The sequence below is a fragment of the Homo sapiens genome, chromosome 9 (genome assembly GCF_000001405.40).
Source record: "Homo sapiens chromosome 9, GRCh38.p14 Primary Assembly".
Classification (NCBI taxonomy): Eukaryota; Metazoa; Chordata; class Mammalia; order Primates; family Hominidae; genus Homo; species Homo sapiens.
In genome coordinates this window covers 101730930-101751036 of record NC_000009.12, presented here as the reverse complement: position 1 = coordinate 101751036, position 20107 = coordinate 101730930, and the positions used below count along the sequence as shown (strand labels likewise).

Genomic DNA, 20107 nt, shown 5'->3' with positions numbered 1-20107 from the left:
GCTGAAAAAAATTAACAGCACCAAATTATTTCCCTAAGCAGACCTTTTGTGGGTTCTGGATAACCTAGAAAATACCAATTAACCTGGCCAAAAGAACCTTGGAAAACATTAAGTACCCCATGAAGCCAAAAGACAGCATGAGAAGGAATAATGCGATGCCTCGAGCTCACTTCAAAGGAGTGCCATTTGACCCAGGTTAATATAGATCACAGAAGTCTTTTCTCATGACAGAAGCTTTTGATGTCCATTTTTGCAAGCCTTGTCTTCTTTGTAAAATCCATGATATAAAGCAGCACCAAGTAAAATTCCAGATGTTTCCACTTATTGAGCTTTTCTGGCATGAAAACTGGCACTTTTATGTGAAAAATCTCAGTTTTGCCAACTTTTTTATGCCATGATTGGAATGAGAACCATGTAAACTAAAAGAACTGTGAAGACACAGAGTGGCAAGGATATTCTAAAAGAAAGAAATCAATTTCTATACAAATGTCCATTACGGTTATTTTTTCTTAAAACAATTTCAAATCCCAAAGTGAACATATAATAAACCGTTTATTCAATTTGCAAGCTAGAAGATACAGTGAAAGTAAAGAGATTAATTCAAACTTAGAACACCTGTATTTAAGTTGTATGATCTGGGGCAAAGATACTTAACCACATGTATTCTTCTGGAGATGAGCACAATAAAAACAACTCAAAGTTTTTGTACGAATGAAAGGAAATATTTCATGTGAATGCATTTTATATAGTATAAGATAATGTATAGATCTTATTATTATATTTCTGAGGTTTGCTCCCTCCCTTTTGATTATATTGTTTCATCTCCTATGGCATAGGAATCATGTTTGTTAGAATGCTCTGAGTGAAAGTTGGATGTGTTCTTCTACAAATAAAATGTGTGAACTTCAGAGCATCGACACTCCAATGTATTTTTTGGCTCATTTGACATATATTTGTTTATTTTCTAGTTCCTAAATATGTTTTAAATATGAGAAGTAGCTGGGTAACTATTTGCTAGATTAGCTACACTTTAATTTGCATGTCACTGTTTCATTTTAAATTGTGTAAATGTGGTACTACTAATTTTTAAAAATGATAACCATTATTTTTATATTAATATTTTTCTGACCTCCATGTGTAAATGAAGAGTTGACATACAGAATTATAATCAAAGTATATGCAATTCATACTTAATTTTTTTCCAAGGTGATTTACAAAAAAACTAAAATTTTTATACTTATCATTTAAACTGACTGGGTGAAATTACACAGAACTAATATGCCATAAATAATTATTCCCCTATCATTAAATATTTATATTGTTTTCCAGTTTTTTACAATATTTGAATTGTGCTGTTATAAATATCTTTCTATATACACATTTTAGTTTTGCTTTTTTTTTCTTTTTTTGTATTAATTATCATGAATAGGGTAATTTTATCAAAAAGGATCAATAGTTGTGGGGCCATTCACATGGGTTGATAGCTTGATTTTGTTATCAGCATGGGAGTATTCCTATTTTTTCAAAGCACCAACCATGTAACTCTGAACTATATATTTTAATGTTTTTATGTGATTGTATACAGCTCCTTAATCTCACTGAAGCATATTAGGTAGAAAGTGAGTTTTCTCAGTGTTGACATGTAAGCTTCCAAGAAGCAGTCATTAAATGGTAATAACTTTCCCCACTGTTATTATGCCTAATGGGCAAGAACTATACTTTCAAATAACACCTGATATATTTTCCCCTCTCGATAATCAATTTGTTTTTAGTTATGCAACCATTCCACCATTAAAACTAGATGGAGATAAGTTTTATTATTTAAGAGAGAACAAGGAGGATAAAATCATACCACTGACATTTTAGCTTCTGAGTATACTTTTGCAAAATTACAGCAAAAGTGATCACTATTGAAGCCCATGTTTTAAAGAGCCAGGCTTGACACAGAAAAGTTTTGCTGTTGTATTTGTTTTGGAATTCTACAAACCTTAAAAGATCTAGAACCCAACCCCTGGAAAGATTGTAAATTTTTTTCACAGATGGATTGAAAAAAGTTTACATGATGATTTAGGAGTTAGCTGAGGGAAGAAAAGCATTACCAGTTAACAGGAAAGGGAGAATTAGAGGGGGTATGACTATACATTTTCTGCAGTGGGCCTCCAACTGTGCTCAGCTCTCCAACTCATTTTGGGTTTTGTGGTGAATAGACTTCAGGATGGATCCCATAATCCCCACGTCTTGTGTCCATGCCCTTGAGAGAAGGCAGGTCCCGTGACTTGGTTCTAACCAATAGAATATAGCAAGTTAACAGGATGTCACTCCTGTGATTAACATTTTACAGCAAAGGTGGTAAGATATCTCTCCTGTGATTAGGTTATATTATGTATTACATAAGGACTGTGTCTTAATAGAGACTCTCCTTGAGGGATTAATGAAATAAGTGGCCATATTGGAAAAGTCCACATGGAAAGGAACTCCAGGTGGCGTCTAGAAACTACTGCTGGTCTCTAGGACCTGAGGACAGCCAGCAACCAACAGTCAACAAAAATCTAAGGCCCTCATTTTTACAGTACCAAGGAACTTCATCCTGCCAACAACCTGAATGAACTTCAAAGTAGATTCTTCCCCAGTTGAGCCTCCAGGTGAGAATACATCCTAGCCAACAGATTGATTGGTAACCCCCTGAGAAGAGTACCCAAGTAAACTGTACCTGGACTCCTGACCCATGGAAACTATAAGGTAATATATGTGTGTTAATTTAAGCTGCTAAAGTTAAAGTAATTTTTTATTACAATTAATAGAAAACTACTACAGGGTTGAAATTTTCAAGGGGGAAACAGATGGACTACATAAATACTCAATTAGGCTAAGAGAATCCCACATCAGAAAGAACTCTTCTCCAGCAACTTAGAGCACAGCTTTTAAGATTGAAAGCCTTGTAGGGAAACCTCAAGTCCACAAATCCCCTAAGCATTAGAACAGTGGCCCAAGGAAGCACCTAGATTGAGGCCTAAGATCAACTTCCTCAAGTTTCACACTACCCAGTGTGGAATGGATGAGTCTCAGAAAATTCTCATCACTCCCTTAGAGAGATGCAAAAGTGACTGAAAGAGCCAATGGCCCAGAGAAGTCAGGAGTTGGAATAGGGGGGATACAGTACTTAAGGTTTCAACAGAAGGTGCAGGCCCACATCAGGAGTCACCATAGCAAACAAAGAAACCTCAACAAAGTCAACTCCCTTCCTTCCACACAAGGACAATTCATAAACCCACTTCCATACTGCAGAAAAGATGAAGGAAAATGAGAGTGAAAGAACCCTAAAGGAATTTGTTTAATCCAAACAGACTAAATGTCTTTACACTTATATATTTAAGTTTTCCATCATCAGTAGAAATGGACATTTGAAAGGTAAATTAAATTTTAGTTACAGAGAAGTAAAGTGGCATTTTTGCAACCAAAAAGGCCATCCACTTGGGGACTATATAATTTCAAAACCACTATATTTACTATGACAAATAGAAAATATATATTTATTTATGCATACTTTTATTAATGGTACATTTTGTTTCTATTTTATCCTATTATTCTAATTTATGATTTCTGGCCTATGCTGTAATATTCGACTAGCTACCATTTTTTTTCATTGATTCTTTTATGTTTGACATCCATACAAAGAACCCAATTGCAATTAAGAATGTTTCTTCCATTTCAAACCTTATTCCTTTATTCCTGTTGGAATGATAAAATTTTCCAGCACTAGTGAGGCTTCCAAGCAGGGACCTTTTTATTTATTTCTGAGTTCTATACCAAACATCTATCATCTTCCTAACACAGAGCTGATTTAGTCTCCACAAGTGATGTGTCAACAGTTATTAAATTATGCGTGTTCTCAGCCTCCATCCTAACCCAAGATACTAAAGAAGATCCTGGCTTGAAGTCCTCAGTCTCCTGTCAACTGAATTCAATCCATTCTCCTGAGGTTTGTTATGCAGAATCAGGAAGAAAGCTAGAGACAGAGAAAGACTGGGAGGCCACAGGCTACGGCTAGGGAAATCTTTAAACAGGGAAAGGTTTGAAGATTATAAGTAAAGTTTAGAATGAAAAAAAAAATGTAAAAGCAGTTGTAATGAGTAAAGAAAATGCATGAGAGAAAGAGGAAAAATATTTTTAAATTACTGTGATACATGTATTTTTCTTTGTGCTATTTGAAAGATACAAATAAAGGATTTTCATTTTAAGATTATCTTGTGACTGGATGTGTTTATTCTAAGCTAAATACCACTTACTCTAGGCACTATATGAATGTATGGAATTATTCTTAATAAATACAACATGCTGAGAATGTTCATTTCTTGATGGTTCAAGATCTCCACTGTGTTGGGTCATACAAAGATCATGAATCTGCACTGTATAAGGTTATAGATATAAATATAAGTGCTTGGACTGCACATGGGCCATCTAGAATATGTCATAGAATGATATGAAGATTTTTTCTTAACCCCCAAGTCTCTGATTTATCTTTGGACTATTTCTCCTGAAAGTGAACAGAATGCATCTAATTAAAGCTTTTCCCCATAGATTTACACATGTAGATCAGTCACTTTGCTGCATAATAGAGAACCACAAAATATTGGGGATGTAAAACAGCATTTATTTCTTGCTTACCAGCCCGTTGTCCACTAAGGTCAGTTTGACTTGGATCTAAGCTGCAGTTGGGTCCAGGTCTATTTACATGTCTCTCAGGGTCCTTGGACTAGCAGCTATCCAAAGAATGTTCTTTGAATGCAAGGGAGGGGCTCAAGAAACAAAGCCCAGCTGTGCAAGTACATTTCAAGTCTTTGTTTGCATCATGTCCACTAAAATCTTATTGGTCAAAGTAATATTCATTGACCAATCTTCAACTCAAAAACAGGGGACATACACCCCACCTAGCATAAGATTATACTATTACAGAGGAATGAAGACGTGAGGCTAATAATTCAACATACACATTTTGCTAAATTACATGTTATTATACATATGGCACATTTTTCATTATCTTGAAGTGAAAACATTGCTCATGCCTTTCCTAATATACTCATAGGATTTCACGTAATCTTATCATTATCATCATAATTTCTGCTCTTGTGAAAAATACGGCTAAAGGTCATATTCGCTAGTTTTATTTCTTAAAACCATATTCTCTGGCTATAAAAACAAACAAGACTTGTTAGCATTAGCATCATCAGTATAAAATGATATCTACAGAGCCTATAGACATTGTTAGCCTCTTGAAAACTGTATGTAAAGGAAAAAATGCTGTAGGCAACTTCCCGTACCCATCCCATACACCTATCTGTGCCCGTACCAACGGTGGATGTTGCTTTATACTTATTTCTGGTCCCCCACTTTTGGAGTGAAGGTGACTTTTGGCATCAGTTTTAAAAAAATCTTTAATAGCAAATTTAAACCCCATGATAGAGAGGCTGATAAACCCAGAAAATCACAGCTTGATTTAGAAAGCAGCAGGGAGCTAGTAGGGAGACTTAAAGAGAAAGATTGAATTGCTGGTACAATAGAAAAAAGAAGATTGCTTTTGCTAAAGACCATTTTTGAAACTCCACAGAAACATGACTGTGTCACCAACCAGAAGAAGAACTTCAGGAAAAAAAACATACCAAGGCAGGAGGAAATTGCAAATATCCCAGTTAGAAAGCATGAATGAAGATTCAAGCAGATATGGCCATTATAAACAAATGGACAGTCAGTGTTTTTATTACCAGAAAAGCTCAGCCACCAACTTAACAGCATTAAATGTCAGAACCAGACTTGGATCTTGCCTGAGAGCAGATCAAAGAAGAAACACCAGAATACACAGTACCCACTTCTCTAGTAGTAGTAGCAGTAGTATTAGCAGCAGCAGGAGCAGCAATAGTAAAGATTGCCTCCCGGTTTTGACTGGGAGGAAATTTAAGTTCTGCATCTGTGGAAACTTGGGGTATCCATTTATTGACTTTGTCTCAGGTACCATCTATTAATAATTGGTTTAAAACTACATAAATAGATTAATATGTCTACCCTCTTCTTACCTGAGAGAGAATAAGAAAGAAATCTGCAAAAATGTATTAAGCTCTTCAAGAGAGGTGTCAGCCCATCTCAGAAGACAGTAATTATTATTACTTACATCCTGCCTCTTCCAAATCTATCTCATTACACCAGTATGTTTTTTAACGGATGAAAATGTTTTCCCATTGAGTTCTTGGTTGAGTTCCATGTGGTCATAAGCTAATCACTACTGCTGTTGTTTCAGTCTTCTTCAGTCTGCTCACCACTGTGTATGCTGCAATGATAGTACTGTTGGGGTTATGGGTTTTTTAACCCAATGATAGCACCCCAAATGAAAAAGGTACAGGGTTTTTTGATGGGATTTCAAATTCAGAAAAAGGTCATTTCTCCTTCAACAACAATAACTAGATGACTAGCTCTCATTTCAGAGTGGCTTAGTTCCCAGAAGATACAGCATACCCATGAGATTTTTTTCCAGCACCTAGAAATGGCAAGTCAGTTTAGCAAAAGCTCACACTTCATGATATAAAGTATGTCCAAGCTCATTTTTGAGTAAACTAGCTTATACCATGCAAACTCTTCAATCCTTTGATACAGATAAAAGTCTGTCAATTAGAGTATGTAAATAAGAGGCTTCAGTCCACCTTACAGAGAGTAAGGGCTCCCCTAGAATTGAACTTTTTCCAGTGAGAACATTCCAGAAGCACTATCACAAATCATGCAGATTTTCACATATTAAAATATTTCTTCATATCCTGAGTATGTGGTTGCTGCACAGAGACCCTAAGGAAAATAATAAATTATGAGATCATATTGTCAATGACATTAAACTGTAGCCAAGGTAGGAGCCATCACAGATGAAATGAACAAATGACATCTGGCTGTATGTTTTGTGGCCCTATAAGAAAATAGAAAATGATGATGATTCATGCCTATTTGTATTATTAAACAATAAGGAAAACATTTTCTGAGATCATCTTAAATATTATAACTGTGAGTTTTCATTTGTATACTCTGATAAGTAATAAATAATCAAATAACTTTGTAATTATGTTTATCCCTGTACACTCATCAGATAATGGTTCTACAGTCAGCCAAGACCGACATAATGGCTCCATTCATGCTGGAAGTAGAGATGAAAAAAGCATGAACTTTGAAGAGAGAATATAAAATCTGGGTTTGCATCCCATTTCTCAGCAAATGAATTGACCTCACCAACCTCAGTTTCATCATCTATAAAATAAGGAGAGCTGTCTATTCATGAAATTAAGAAATCATGTATGCCAAGTACCTGGCACGGATGTCACTCAAGATAAAAGCTCTAGAATAATAAAGACTGCATAATTCTTGAATATCATCTGAAAGTCTTTCTTGAAGTCTCTTTCTAAAGGAATAAAAACTATGTTTCTGTAGACTAAATTTTTTTACAGATGCAAGGCATAAAAGATCCATGAAGGCAAATAAGCTTTTAGAAAATTTCCAAATTCTTTTGGCTGCAGTTATAAAACTAGTTCTGCAAATTAAGCACAAAAAAGTCCTTAAAAATGTCCCAGTCTGTGATGGGCCAAGTTTTATTCCATAGATCATTTGGATAAACACTAAATTGAAATGATTATCACACACAGAAGAAGAGAGTGATTGAGAGAGACTGCCATATTAGCTTCTCCAATCTCTATTTGAGTTCCCTTTAGTATGTGGTTTAGAAAGGAAATCAGGAAATCCAAACACTCAGCTAATAATCCTGGTGGATGTTGAAAAGGCCAAGCACTTGTCACAGCTGATGACTGACTCCCCTGACAATAAGTAGATTAAGGATACCATAATGTGCTTTTTCATAGCTAAAAGGTTAACAACTATTGGCAGTTCCTAATTTACAGATAGGTAATAGCCCTGGCCTGAATTTGGTTTCTTGGGTGTAGGGGATTATGTGATGCAAAAGAAAAGACAGTATCCTTTGTGTTTTCCAGCATAAGGTCAAAGCATAGGCAATATTTTGAATTGGACAAAACAGACTAGATTTTTCCTTCCTCTTTGTCACCCTATTTCCTTAGTTTCTAAGGTCCCTTTTTTCCTGTTTCCAGTTTCTCAGTCTGCCTAGAAATTATTCAGGGAAGTTTCACCTGGATCCTATATACAATGTGCCTGGCATGTAGAAGTTACTTAAGATAAAAGCTCTAGAGTAATGAAGATTTGTTGCACACCTTCTGAAATTCTTCCTTAAGATCTCTTGTGTTCCCAAAATCCTTTATAATGCAAAATAAACTTCTTTCCCTTCTCTTCCCCCCAAAAATCCCAACAGGATATTAATTTTACACCAATCAGGATAAAATAATTTATACTAATCTGTGACTCACTGATAGTCCCAAAATCATGAGAGTTATTTGCATTTTTAAAAGAGAATAATTGCTGCCAAAATTAATGCCTAATTAGTAGAATGTAGAACAGTGTTACAAAGTATTGAGTGAATATAGGCTTATTTTTAATTGAGGGAATGAGAAAAAATTATTAGGCTTTGGACAGATGAGCCCTCAGGGTCTGCTCCCCTAAACTGACCTAATTTTTTTCTAGATTCATTCCCTTCTAAAATTCTGCTACCATAGATTCTCTAAGAGCTCCATATATTTTTTGTTTGTTTGCTTTTATCCAGGAAGATTCACATGACAACAAGGTCCTTGGCAATAGAAACAAAGGAGCCAATGTGGAAGACAGCATAATTTGAGACTCTGGATATGCACTAGCTAGGGGAGAACACATTTTTCATCTGAATATTGATAAAAATCTACATAATTACTATTGCAAAAAAAAAAAAAGGGGGAGACCCAGAATTGGGGACATGCCATTTAATATTATGGCCATTTACAAAAACAAAGATAGATGTGAATGCAACTTGTAATAAGTCAAGGTATAGGAAAAAACACAAGATAGTTTTCCAGACTCACCAGAAGCCTCCCATTCCCGTGGAACTTGAAAAGATTCACAGGAGGCTGCATACTGTTGCATCTATACAGACAACTGTTAAGATCTGTCGCCACAACCACAGTTCAGAGGAGGAATCTTCAGCTGTAAGAGGTTAAATGTCATATCCATAGGCGAAACAATACTGAAAAGAGAATCTAACTCCTAATTCCCACAGCATCCTTTACTGTAGCCTTTCCTTGGCTACCACCATAGCAATATATCTCAGCTTTTAGTCCATCCATTGCTGGTACCAGAAAACACAGATGTGAACAAAAGCACATGTTAAATTGCGAGCATTTGGATTTGTTCTGGTTTGACTCTCCAACATGGGTTCTTAGATCAGTAGTTCTCATTCTGAGTCAGATAATAATTTTTAAAAAGCTTCATCTCTGAGTAAGCCAATTTTGAAATTTGACTGATTTTAGCTACCAACCACACAGCTGGGAAGAACTTAAAATATTGAAGCCACAATGCTACTCACTATCTAATGATTTTGTGCAGATAACTCAACTTTTCTCAAATTCAATGTCCTTTTCTTTAGAATGGGGATGATCACACAAACCTATTGAGGTTGATTTCTATGATTTGACAGTAGTGTTATTTTTCATGTGGCTTATTGCAATAGCCTCATCTCCTTTTCTCATCTTCTGGCGTCCACTCTTAACCACTGTTCATCTATCAGTAACAAAACAACTGTAGCGATCCCGTTAAAGTATTAATTCTATCACTCTTCTGCCCTCCACTCTTAACCACTGTTCATCTATCAGTAACAAAACAACTGTAGCGATCCCGTTAAAGTATTAATTCTATCACTCTTCTGCCCAATGTCCCTGCCTTCATGCCTTCTCATCTCATTCAGAGTAGATGCCAAAGTTCATTTGCTTACATTGTCTGCCACCTCTTCATTGCCTCTCTGACCTGACCTGCCACCACTTTCACCCTGGATCATTTTGCTCCGGCCACTCCAGACCCCTCATTATTCTTTAAACCTTCCAGAAACACTCGGGGCCTTGGCATGTAGTTTCCCCTGCTTGGGAATTCTTGCCTAGAGTATTCACATGAATCACTCCCTTACCTCCCTTTACATCTTTATTCAAAAGCTGTCTTCTCCGAGAGGTCTTCCCTGGCTTTCTCACCTAAAATTACAACCCAACCTCTTCCTAATACTTCCTCTACACTGCTTTCTTTTTCCACTTAGCACAAACTAACATACCCTACATTTATTTACTTATTTGTATATTTTATTGTCTCTTTCACACTAGAATATAAGCTCTATGTTAGCATTTTGTTCACTTATTGACTATGTGATGTTGTGGAAAGGAGAAAACTCAACTTTTCTAGAGTTTATTCATCTGTTTCCAGGATGGTCCTACAACAATGATTGACACATACTAGGAGCTTAATAATTGGTTGTTGAATTTAAGTGAACTTTGAAAATGATGACCCTTGACACATGAAAAAGGTGGACAAGAAGGAGAAAGGGAAAAGGAAAAAGAAGATTTGGGGAAAGGAGAGAGAACAATTTTGTCAGATATGCTCAGACCACCATGATATGGACAAAGAAAACCAAGCAGCAAAAGGAAAACAGGAAGGACACCAGTGAATTATAATGGGAAAGCCCGGAAAGAAACAAAAGGAAGCCCAAGAAGGGAGAGCCATTCTTCATTGTTCACTCAGTATTCACCAGGTTTAAGTAGAGTTTTATCACGACCTGGTGCAGTATTATCCTCAGAAACTTGGGAAGGTCTTCTGTGTAAGAGCAGTTCAGTTATTCCCTCAAGGCAGTCATGAACTTGTGAAAAACCTAATGCATATAGAGTGATTCTAGGATGCTATTAATGATCAGATCAAACTATTCTCCATCATCATGTTTTTCTTGAGAACCTGATCTGAACATAAGTGTAATGCCAAGGACTAAAAGTACAAGGACTAAGCATGGTCATAACCTAGAAAGTTATACATTATATTCTTCAAAACACACACTCGAGTACAGACAAATATACCTCCTTACTACACAATTAGTAGATACCCAATCTTCCTGCAATGCAAGGACCTCAGACTTCTACACTTTTATTATTCAGATCTCAATCAGTGGAATCCTGTGGATCAAGGGGGAATTTCCAGCACACTAGAGGCAGCTTTTCTCCATTCATGGGATGTTCTCTCAGGCTTCAGGAGGGTTTCTTTCCCTCCTCATTCAGCCCACTACTATGATTTTCACTTTTTTTCTCATGGGAGACTTTTCTTCTCTAGCAACCCAGTCTTGCAAAAACGATGCCGAATGTCTGGTAAATTTGTTCTGAGATACCTTTAAAGATCTGGGCTGGGGAAAACAGCATTCACTTTGCAAGCTTCTTGGGATTTTTACTTAACTAGAGTCTCTTCTTCCCAGGATTTAAAACATGATGGAAACTTTAGCTCATGAATCAAAACAACCCTCCAGAGCTAAAAGCCAGCTGTATTTGCATAACAATTTAGCAGATCCAAACAGCAGGGCAAGGTCGGGTGAAATAAGTTGCCAAGGTCATGGTCATGAAGTAGTATTAGACTCAGAAAGGCTGATCCCCAGTGCTTGCTCCACCCCATGGATCTCTCCTACCCTCCTTCTAAACGATACTGTGGGATAAAATAAAATTAATCTACTGTATATGTGCAAACCACAGGCCTGCCCTTAACTCTTTCCTTACCTTCTAGTTTCAGATTATTCAAATCATGGAGGAAAAGATTAGATCACAACACGTTGACTTCACTGTATTACCATACAAATGAAATAACTTAGTACAAACTGTGATCTGGGGACTCTTGATCTAAACTGGGAACTGCTGTTGACTGCATTTTAAACTCTAAAAGTATTTTGAAACTCTTTAATTTCTTGAACTGAAAAAATTGCTTTGAATTCACTTTGTTTTAATTCTGAGAACCTAAAAACAGGGATTCTTTAAAAAAAAAATGCAAAGGCTCACATGCCAGAAAGAAAGAAGCTGAGGAGATAAAAATGTGTAAATAATTCTTACTTTAATACCCTTAGCTAGAAAAACCTTAAAAGCGACACATCCAGAAGCTCGTTAAGTCACAGCCTCTTTGAACCTATTTCAGTGAACCACCGAATTTCAGATCCCTCAGGTGCGACTCTGAATTCAGAATTCTCACCGGCTCATAGTCCTATTTTCCTTCTTAGGTTTTAGGGAATTTTGCAAACTATGACGCCCAGCCTTTGAGGGGAGAGGACTTTCCAGGGGCGCGGGATGTGCCACTCGGGAATCTCACCAACAGTGGGCGTTTAGCGCAGCCAAGCGACAGGCAGGCGCCAGGGCTCAGCAACAGGGAGGCGCCGGCTGAGGCGGGGAGAACTTTGGCGCTCGGAGCAGAGCCACCCTTTGCTGGCCAGTCGCGTTGCTCCTCCGAGGAAGCAAGCGGCGGTGGCGACTCGGTGGAAAAATAACGAAAGAAAGGCAGAGAGGAAGTAGCGAGAGAAGAGAGAAAATGAAGTCGGCGCTGGGGGAGCCTGCAGGAGGGTGGCCAACAGTGGAGGAAGGTGGATTTGGCTTCTTTTCCGCACCCCGGGCGTGAAAGCCCTCTCCAACGCGACCCCAGGAAATAAGTGGGTCTCGCCTGGGCAGAAAAGGAAAAGAATCCAGGCGAGAGCGCGTCGCTCCTCTGTCACTGCTGCCCCCGAGGAACTCCGGCTGCTTCTCATCCCGGCCGCCTCGCGGGGCCGGACGCAGTGCCCGAGGCGCCCTGCAGATGGGGCGGGCAGGGAACGGGCGCTCCAGCTGCGGGTGACAGGCGCCGGCCCGCCCGCCTGCCTGCTCAGCGCAGTGACCGGGCGGGCAGAGGATGCCAGGCGGAGGGACCTGGGAGCGGGATCTGAGACTGCCGGAGGCGCGCTACGCTCCAACTTGCATGGCCTAGAGACCGCTCCAGCTCCTGGGACCGCTTCACCGAGTGGAGTGAAGCTGCGCGCGGGACCTGGAGGCGGAGACCTCAGGCAGCGGCTGCAGAGGGGCGAGCCGGGCGCAGGAGGGGGCGCGCTTTCTCCCTGCGGGTCTCAGTAATGAGGAGACTGAGTTTGTGGTGGCTGCTGAGCAGGGTCTGTCTGCTGTTGCCGCCGCCCTGCGCACTGGTGCTGGCCGGGGTGCCCAGCTCCTCCTCGCACCCGCAGCCCTGCCAGATCCTCAAGCGCATCGGGCACGCGGTGAGGGTGGGCGCGGTGCACTTGCAGCCCTGGACCACCGCCCCCCGCGCGGCCAGCCGCGCTCCGGACGACAGCCGAGCAGGAGCCCAGAGGGATGAGCCGGAGCCAGGGACTAGGCGGTCCCCGGCGCCCTCGCCGGGCGCACGCTGGTTGGGGAGCACCCTGCATGGCCGGGGGCCGCCGGGCTCCCGTAAGCCCGGGGAGGGCGCCAGGGCGGAGGCCCTGTGGCCACGGGACGCCCTCCTATTTGCCGTGGACAACCTGAACCGCGTGGAAGGGCTGCTACCCTACAACCTGTCTTTGGAAGTAGTGATGGCCATCGAGGCAGGCCTGGGCGATCTGCCACTTTTGCCCTTCTCCTCCCCTAGTTCGCCATGGAGCAGTGACCCTTTCTCCTTCCTGCAAAGTGTGTGCCATACCGTGGTGGTGCAAGGGGTGTCGGCGCTGCTCGCCTTCCCCCAGAGCCAGGGCGAAATGATGGAGCTCGACTTGGTCAGCTTAGTCCTGCACATTCCAGTGATCAGCATCGTGCGCCACGAGTTTCCACGGGAGAGTCAGGTGAGAGGAGCCTGGTGCGTGGAGTGGAGATGGGCGCTGCTGGGGGCCGGGGCCATTGCATGAGGGGAGAGAAAACGGCTTGGTAAAGTCTGAGGGGAGTTGTTACTTTATAACTTTGATATTGCTTAACGATTGGGCCATGTTCGTAGGTGGTAGGTAGAAGGAGCTTAGTAGAAGTAGAATAAAATATTTAAAGCGCGGATGGAAATAAAACGCGCAGTGAGGTCGCGGCTGGAAGGAAAGAAGTGGGGAGAATATGAGAGAAAATCATATTTTGACCGGCTGGGAGAAATCTAGTAGATGCCCGACGGGAAGTAGAAGTCGAGGTTCAGGACCGTGGAGAGCGGTGAAGGTTCTGAAGAACTACAAGAGCAGGGTATGGGGGTGGGGTATCCCTGACTCCTGGCTAGGTGTCACACTCCCAAGAGCAACTCTGACAGCATGTGTCGGAAAAGCAGCATCTGCTCTCTCTGACTTCTTCAGAAGGTGTGCCTGAGCCTTAGGCAAAGGTGTAAGGAAGAAAGCACATCGCTCTGAATTCCTCTGGGTAAATAGAAAATCTGCACCTAGTACAGAAGCCATAGGTAGAGAAGAGTGGTCAATTAGTCTCGGATATTGGAAAGCATTAGAAATATATAAAAGTGTAAAGATGGACGGGGAGATTTATTTGGGGATTGTTTCTTTGTCCCTACTTTCCTTCTATGTAATGTGGACTCAGAGGCTGGTATTCAGTTGCTGTGTTCAGCCCATTTCTCTCCCCATCATCTAAGAATTAAAAAAAAAAAGGAATTAAATGATTTAGTTTCTTATTGATTAAAAAAGCTAAACATATTTTCAATGAAAGAGCTATTTGTGAACTTAACGTTGACAAGTAATAATGAGGAGATGAATCTTTAAGAACAAGACAGAGTCCTTATTTAGTAATGAGTTTTCTGCCTTTTATATGTTACTTTTATCATAATCTCAAGCTGTGTTAAGCCTTGCACAAAGTATCTATGAAGCAAATAGGTAATTGGCATGGGCCCATTTTAACGACTGAGAAACTGAGAAAAGTCTGGGGACTTGATCAACATTGGTCAGTGTACTAGTAAAAAAGTCCACATTCTGGAGGATTTCTGACTCTACATCATTTTCACTCAACTCTTGCAGCTGGAAAAATTTGTATTTCCAATCTTCTTCCACTTCTGATATATGTGCCGAGATAAAAACTAAAATGAGTAAGGGCAATGTACAATGAAAAGTTTGATAGAATCTATGCATAAATTGTCAAGGGAGTACTAAAGATTTCTTTTTCTAGAAGAAAATAAATCTTACATTTTTAATCTTAGGAAGGTTGAGTACAAGCCATATTCAGCAGTTGCCCAGAAGATTCCTAGCCGAACTACAGAGATTTGATCTGTAGAGTGCAGGCTAATTAACTTTTATATAAAATATTTCTGTCACCTGAATCTGAATGGTGTAGGCAGCAGATGGGAAGGCATGGAAAACACAGATACACAATGCTGCCAATGACCAAAGTGTTATAAACATGAAATTGCATCCATAGGGTGCATCATTATTAATATACATGCAGAATCAGATCTAACAAAATGCAGGAGTCAGCATCACTTGCTTCTTATCATTGCTTCTTTATTACCTAATACTTCGTAAGTGGCCAATAGTGGTCACAGTCTCCAGACTCCTTTTCATTTGTAGATTGTTTGGCAAGAGTCTTAAGTAGCAAGAATTTTTCACCAAAATTCGTGTTCCTTAGTTAGAAGGGAAGTTGTGTTCTAGAACGGATGTGTGCAGCATACAGCACATTACAACAAGGGGACCAGAAAAACCATGAAGCAGAATCCAGAATCTGTAAACTTCAAAGCTCTAAGACCGGGGTGGGGGGTGGATAAAGTCCTCCAGGGACAAGCTGACAATAAAATAAATACGCTGTCAAGCACATTTGTTTCTGTATTTCAACTCAGAAACATATTTTAAATCACTGTTGTCACTGTTACCTTCATGGCACACATCTTGAAAGGGAGAGATTATTATATTAACTCAGATCTAGTTTGTTCAACTGACTACATTTTCTTTCATCTCCCTTTTTACTTTAAATTCAAACATATCTAATTTGTCTTACTTTTGGTATCTCATTTAAATGTCATTCTATAATATTCTGTATTAAGAATGTTCTGATCAATGCCAAGTCACTGTAATATATAATTTTAAGATGACCGTAATCTGCTTTCAGTGAAAACAATAACTGATCTTTCCCTTGCTTCTCTGGAAAAGTGGACCTTCCTCTAATGCAGTGATGTGATTTTTAAAAACTTTCTATATATAAAAGGATGTCAAACTCATTTTACACATTAAATAAAATTGACTTAATCTAGCCACCATCCTCGGAGTCTACTGCCCAGTGACCTAATTTGTTGGTTGTGTGCCACTCCCTGAATAAAGGATTCGAGAAGAAAGTGGACTTTTTCACACAACCAAGTAAAATAAAATTGTGTCTCTTACTTAAATCAAAATTGCTTTCATAGCAAGAGCAGCAACAGCTGTTTTCTCTCACTTTATTTTGGGCTGCTGATTACATTCATCTGAAGGTTTTAATTAATGAGCAATAGTTTTGGTAACATCCTGCCACAACTCTTAAATGGAAAGAGCTGCCACTGAGATGGACAAACCCCTGAGAAAAGCATAATAGTTTTATTTCAATACACTATGTATTCAAAATAAGATAATCACATAAGATCATCACCTTCTAGGGGATCAGCTTCTTTCAAGTAGGGAAATTCATTAAAAGTAAGTTAGTTAACTACATACTTTTGGAAAACATATGTATATTATAACTGCATAATAAAAGCTTAATAAAACATTAAACATAGGATGGGGTCAAAGCAGTTTTCCATCAAAAGAATTCTGACTTCACTACAACACTCAAACCCCACTTGAGGCTAACCCATTTTATTAAAATGATTACTTCTTTGTTCTAAATTCTATTCTTATAACCTTCAAATAATGATGCTGAATATGAACCTAATTCCATTTACACCTAAATTAAATTCCTGCAGTTATACTTTCTTTCTCTCTCCTTCCTACATGACTTTTTCTTCTACAGGTTTTGTGTAGTTTCTTCAAAGTTAACTCCCTAAAGTTTACCTGCTGAAGTAGTGACAAGTACACATTTTTTAAAAAAAATATACACCTCACCTTAACTTCATATTGGTTCTATTAGGCAGAGTTAATGATGTAATATAATTGGCTTAGATCCAAATCCATGCAATTCAAAAGTGACTGCACAGCCAGGCATGGTGGCACCTACATGTAGTCTCAGCTGCTTGGGAGGCTGAGGCAGGAGGACTGCTTGAGCCCAAGAGTTCCAGACTACCCTGGGTGACATAGTAAGACCCTGACTCTTAAAAAAATTTTTTAATTAAAAAAAAAAGTGATCCCACTACTATTTTCAACACTCTCGTTGAATACACCAACCACAACTTTGCCTGCTTCATGAGCGATATGTACTAACAAATTAATATATGCTTCTTTCATGGAAATACAAGTGTTTTAAATTGTGCATTTTCTCTGACAGTACAGGACTAAGCACTGAAGCCTATTTATTAGAATTTGGCTAACAAAGCACTATTTTTGCATGGCACAGGGGTACCTCATGAGGGGACCAGTAAGGGATATTTATTTTTAAAACATCTGCTCTCAACTGTGTTGGTTTTCTTTGACTTGCTCTATGCAAATCACAGCTCTTTCTCCTCTGGGGGAAATGTATTCTGCAATTCATGATGAATAGCTGATAGTCGCATCTAATTGTTGCTGACTTAAAGATAAACAATTTCAAATTAAATGTCAAGTGATGCAAAACTTTTTAAAGCAGTGATCTTTTACAGGTTCCTCTTGAAGAACAGAGACCTGGCATTAACTTGGAAGTATTTTTTAATTTAGTTATTTACTTACAATATGTATTCGCTTTTCTAGATAAGTAGAGCAAAGGAGACTAGCAGGCACCATTTATTGAGCAATTAGTTTGTCTCTCCCGCTTTACTTTGTGCTTGCCAGAAGAGTATCACTTAATCCATGAAGAATATATTTGCTCTTGATTTTGTCTGACCATTATATCTTAGAGTTAATTTATGATCGAATCAGCTGAGGTATCTGAAGACTGATGCCAATTTCTAATTCCTCGTGTTTTATCTTCTGGTGCTGCAGAAGGCACCATGGATTTTGTACCATTAGATTTTATTTTATAAATAACCCCCCAGTCAAATTCCAACCACAATAGTTAAAAGAGCACAATGTAATGAAACGCATATGAAATAGTGGCCAAAATGTTCCCAATCTGCCTCTTTCGTTGCAGATGTTCCCAATCTATCTCTCACTAGCCATGTAATTTTGGGCAAGTGACTATCTCTGAGCATCTACACTTATCAGAAGTGTAGATCAAAAGAAGGTACTTTACCAATCTGACAAAGATGTTGTGAATCAAATGAGAAAGTAAAAGTACTTTGGAAAAGTTATAGTGTTACCCAAATAACTAGTGGAGAGGTGTTGGTCATTATCTGGTAAGAATCACTTAAGTGTTAAAGTTCAACTAATTTTCTTTTCGAAATTACTAATCAAAATGAGATATGATTCACATGTAAAATGTTTGCATTCCCCTTACACCTTCCTCTTTACCCTCTCCCTCATTTTTTTCTCTTAAAAAAAAGTGGGCTTAGAAATAAACAAACAAACAAAAAACTAGGTTCCTAAGTAGGTTGCACACTTGCCTGGAAAAAGAAGACATGCCACAGTACTGTTTCTGTATTACCAGCAACTTTTAACCTATGGCACATCTAACACAGCTTCTAGAGCCTTAAGTCCTGCCATAGAAATATCATTAAGATGCCCAAGATATTTGAGAAATGTTGGTCCTTCACATTGCTCATAAGTTTTTTCTATAGGCAAACTATCATTCAGGAAATTATGACCATACAGAGTCTACCCCACTCTCACTCCTATTCCGCCAACTACACCACAAAGCAAACATCCAAATTTTTTCATAGCAAACTTTCTTGATAAGGAAAGCAGTGTGTTGATTCATACTGACCTAAGCTCCTTATCTCATCATGGATATATAATTTACAAACCAGCTACTTTGAGTCCCATTGCCCTAGATAACTGTATACTCTCTTAGGAAAGTATTGCTCATTTTAGTGGCAACAGTAAATATAGAGATGAGAAATCTCATTGTCTTTTTTTCTGCTAGCTCTGGCTATTGCCACATATACACAAGAATAGAGGACCTATGTAGCACCAGAAATATGATGCCAAATCCATAAAACTAGGCAAGAAGAAAGAACATCTCTTAGCATCTGCCATATTACTTTTTGAGTGAATGTTTGAATGACAAACTCATAGAAATTTTTAACCTCTCAGTTGTCTTTTGCTGATATTTTCTCTATGAGATCACAGGAGCAAAGAGCAATGGGGAAGAGGTGAGCTAAGAGTAAGCCAACTCTCTCCATTTCCTTCTCCTTTCCTCAACCTGACACCTCAGCCAAATTCTCAGATATTTTATTTAATTGTGTAAGATTCATGCACTTTCAGGGAGACTGTCAACTGTATTTGATCTCCTGCCTTGAAAAAGTGGGTTGATCCCTGACCTGGCTGGCATTATGTCATGAGGAGTAAACTTTGACATTGAAAGGCTGGTGTCTGATTGGCCAGGGCTGGTTTGTTAATGGAGATGAGCCTGCAAGGGTTCATGTGGTAGAGAATTAAGCAGGATGACTCCTTTTTCAGTCAGGATGAATTACACCTCATCGTTATTCATTTGAAGCATAGATTTAGGAAGAATTTTAATCATATTATATTTTTGCAGCATTTATGTTTTTCAAGGCTTTTTCACAAATATGTTTAAATAATCTCCTAACAGCCCTGTAAAGCAAATGACTATGTATAGACAAAATATGGAGAAATAGAAAGAACTATGCATTGTAGGAAGTGAGAAGCCATCCAGAAGAAAAACAGACTAATAGCACCTTCTTAACTTCGTCTATTTGTCAGCCTTCAACCAAAGAACAGATTGGATCCATCACAGCTTTTGTAATATCCCATAAGAAAAGGCATAAAAGAGAGAAGTATCTACTTCCAGGTTGGACTATTAAAAGCATATTATATAATAATGTTCAAAATGATGGAAATGTAATTAATTGAATCATTTTTTAACGGAGTACAATGTACTCATTCAAAATGAGGATATATTTATTGACACAGAAAGATAGAAAAATTTTACAAAAATGTATGTAAAGTGTGACCTTGTTCCTGTAAAATATGAAGTCTAGAACTTTGTTTATAAAAATCTTAACAGGGATTATA

The 20107-nt window shown here is 38.7% G+C and overlaps 1 protein-coding gene across 2 annotated transcripts in view, besides 3 other annotated features; it reads left to right on the top strand.

The window, feature by feature from the left end:
• Positions 12033-12556: an enhancer, noted in NCBI's record as "H3K4me1 hESC enhancer chr9:104500763-104501286 (GRCh37/hg19 assembly coordinates)". NCBI's record gives its function as "activates a minimal SCP1, AML or CMV promoter by ChIP-STARR-seq in primed H9 embryonic stem cells {active_cell/tissue: H9 hESC(primed)}" and the evidence as "EXISTENCE:reporter gene assay evidence [ECO:0000049][PMID:30033119]".
• The window catches only part of GRIN3A (glutamate ionotropic receptor NMDA type subunit 3A), a 169296-nt gene continuing 161578 nt past the window's right edge, over positions 12390-20107 (top strand). For both annotated transcript variants that reach the window (NM_133445.3, XM_011518211.3), the window contains exon 1: positions 12390-13756. In NM_133445.3, coding sequence (NP_597702.2) covers positions 13058-13756 — 699 coding nt within the window. In that variant the 5' untranslated portion in view covers positions 12390-13057. The remainder of the gene's footprint in view (positions 13757-20107) is intronic.
• Positions 12557-13081: an enhancer, noted in NCBI's record as "H3K27ac-H3K4me1 hESC enhancer chr9:104500238-104500762 (GRCh37/hg19 assembly coordinates)". NCBI's record gives its function as "activates a minimal SCP1, AML or CMV promoter by ChIP-STARR-seq in primed H9 embryonic stem cells {active_cell/tissue: H9 hESC(primed)}" and the evidence as "EXISTENCE:reporter gene assay evidence [ECO:0000049][PMID:30033119]".
• Positions 13976-14270: a silencer, noted in NCBI's record as "tiled region #1857; HepG2 Repressive non-DNase unmatched - State 10:DNaseD, and K562 Repressive non-DNase unmatched - State 22:ReprW". NCBI's record gives its function as "represses a minimal TATA promoter and a strong SV40 promoter by Sharpr-MPRA in HepG2 and K562 cells {active_cell/tissue: HepG2 | K562}" and the evidence as "EXISTENCE:reporter gene assay evidence [ECO:0000049][PMID:27701403]".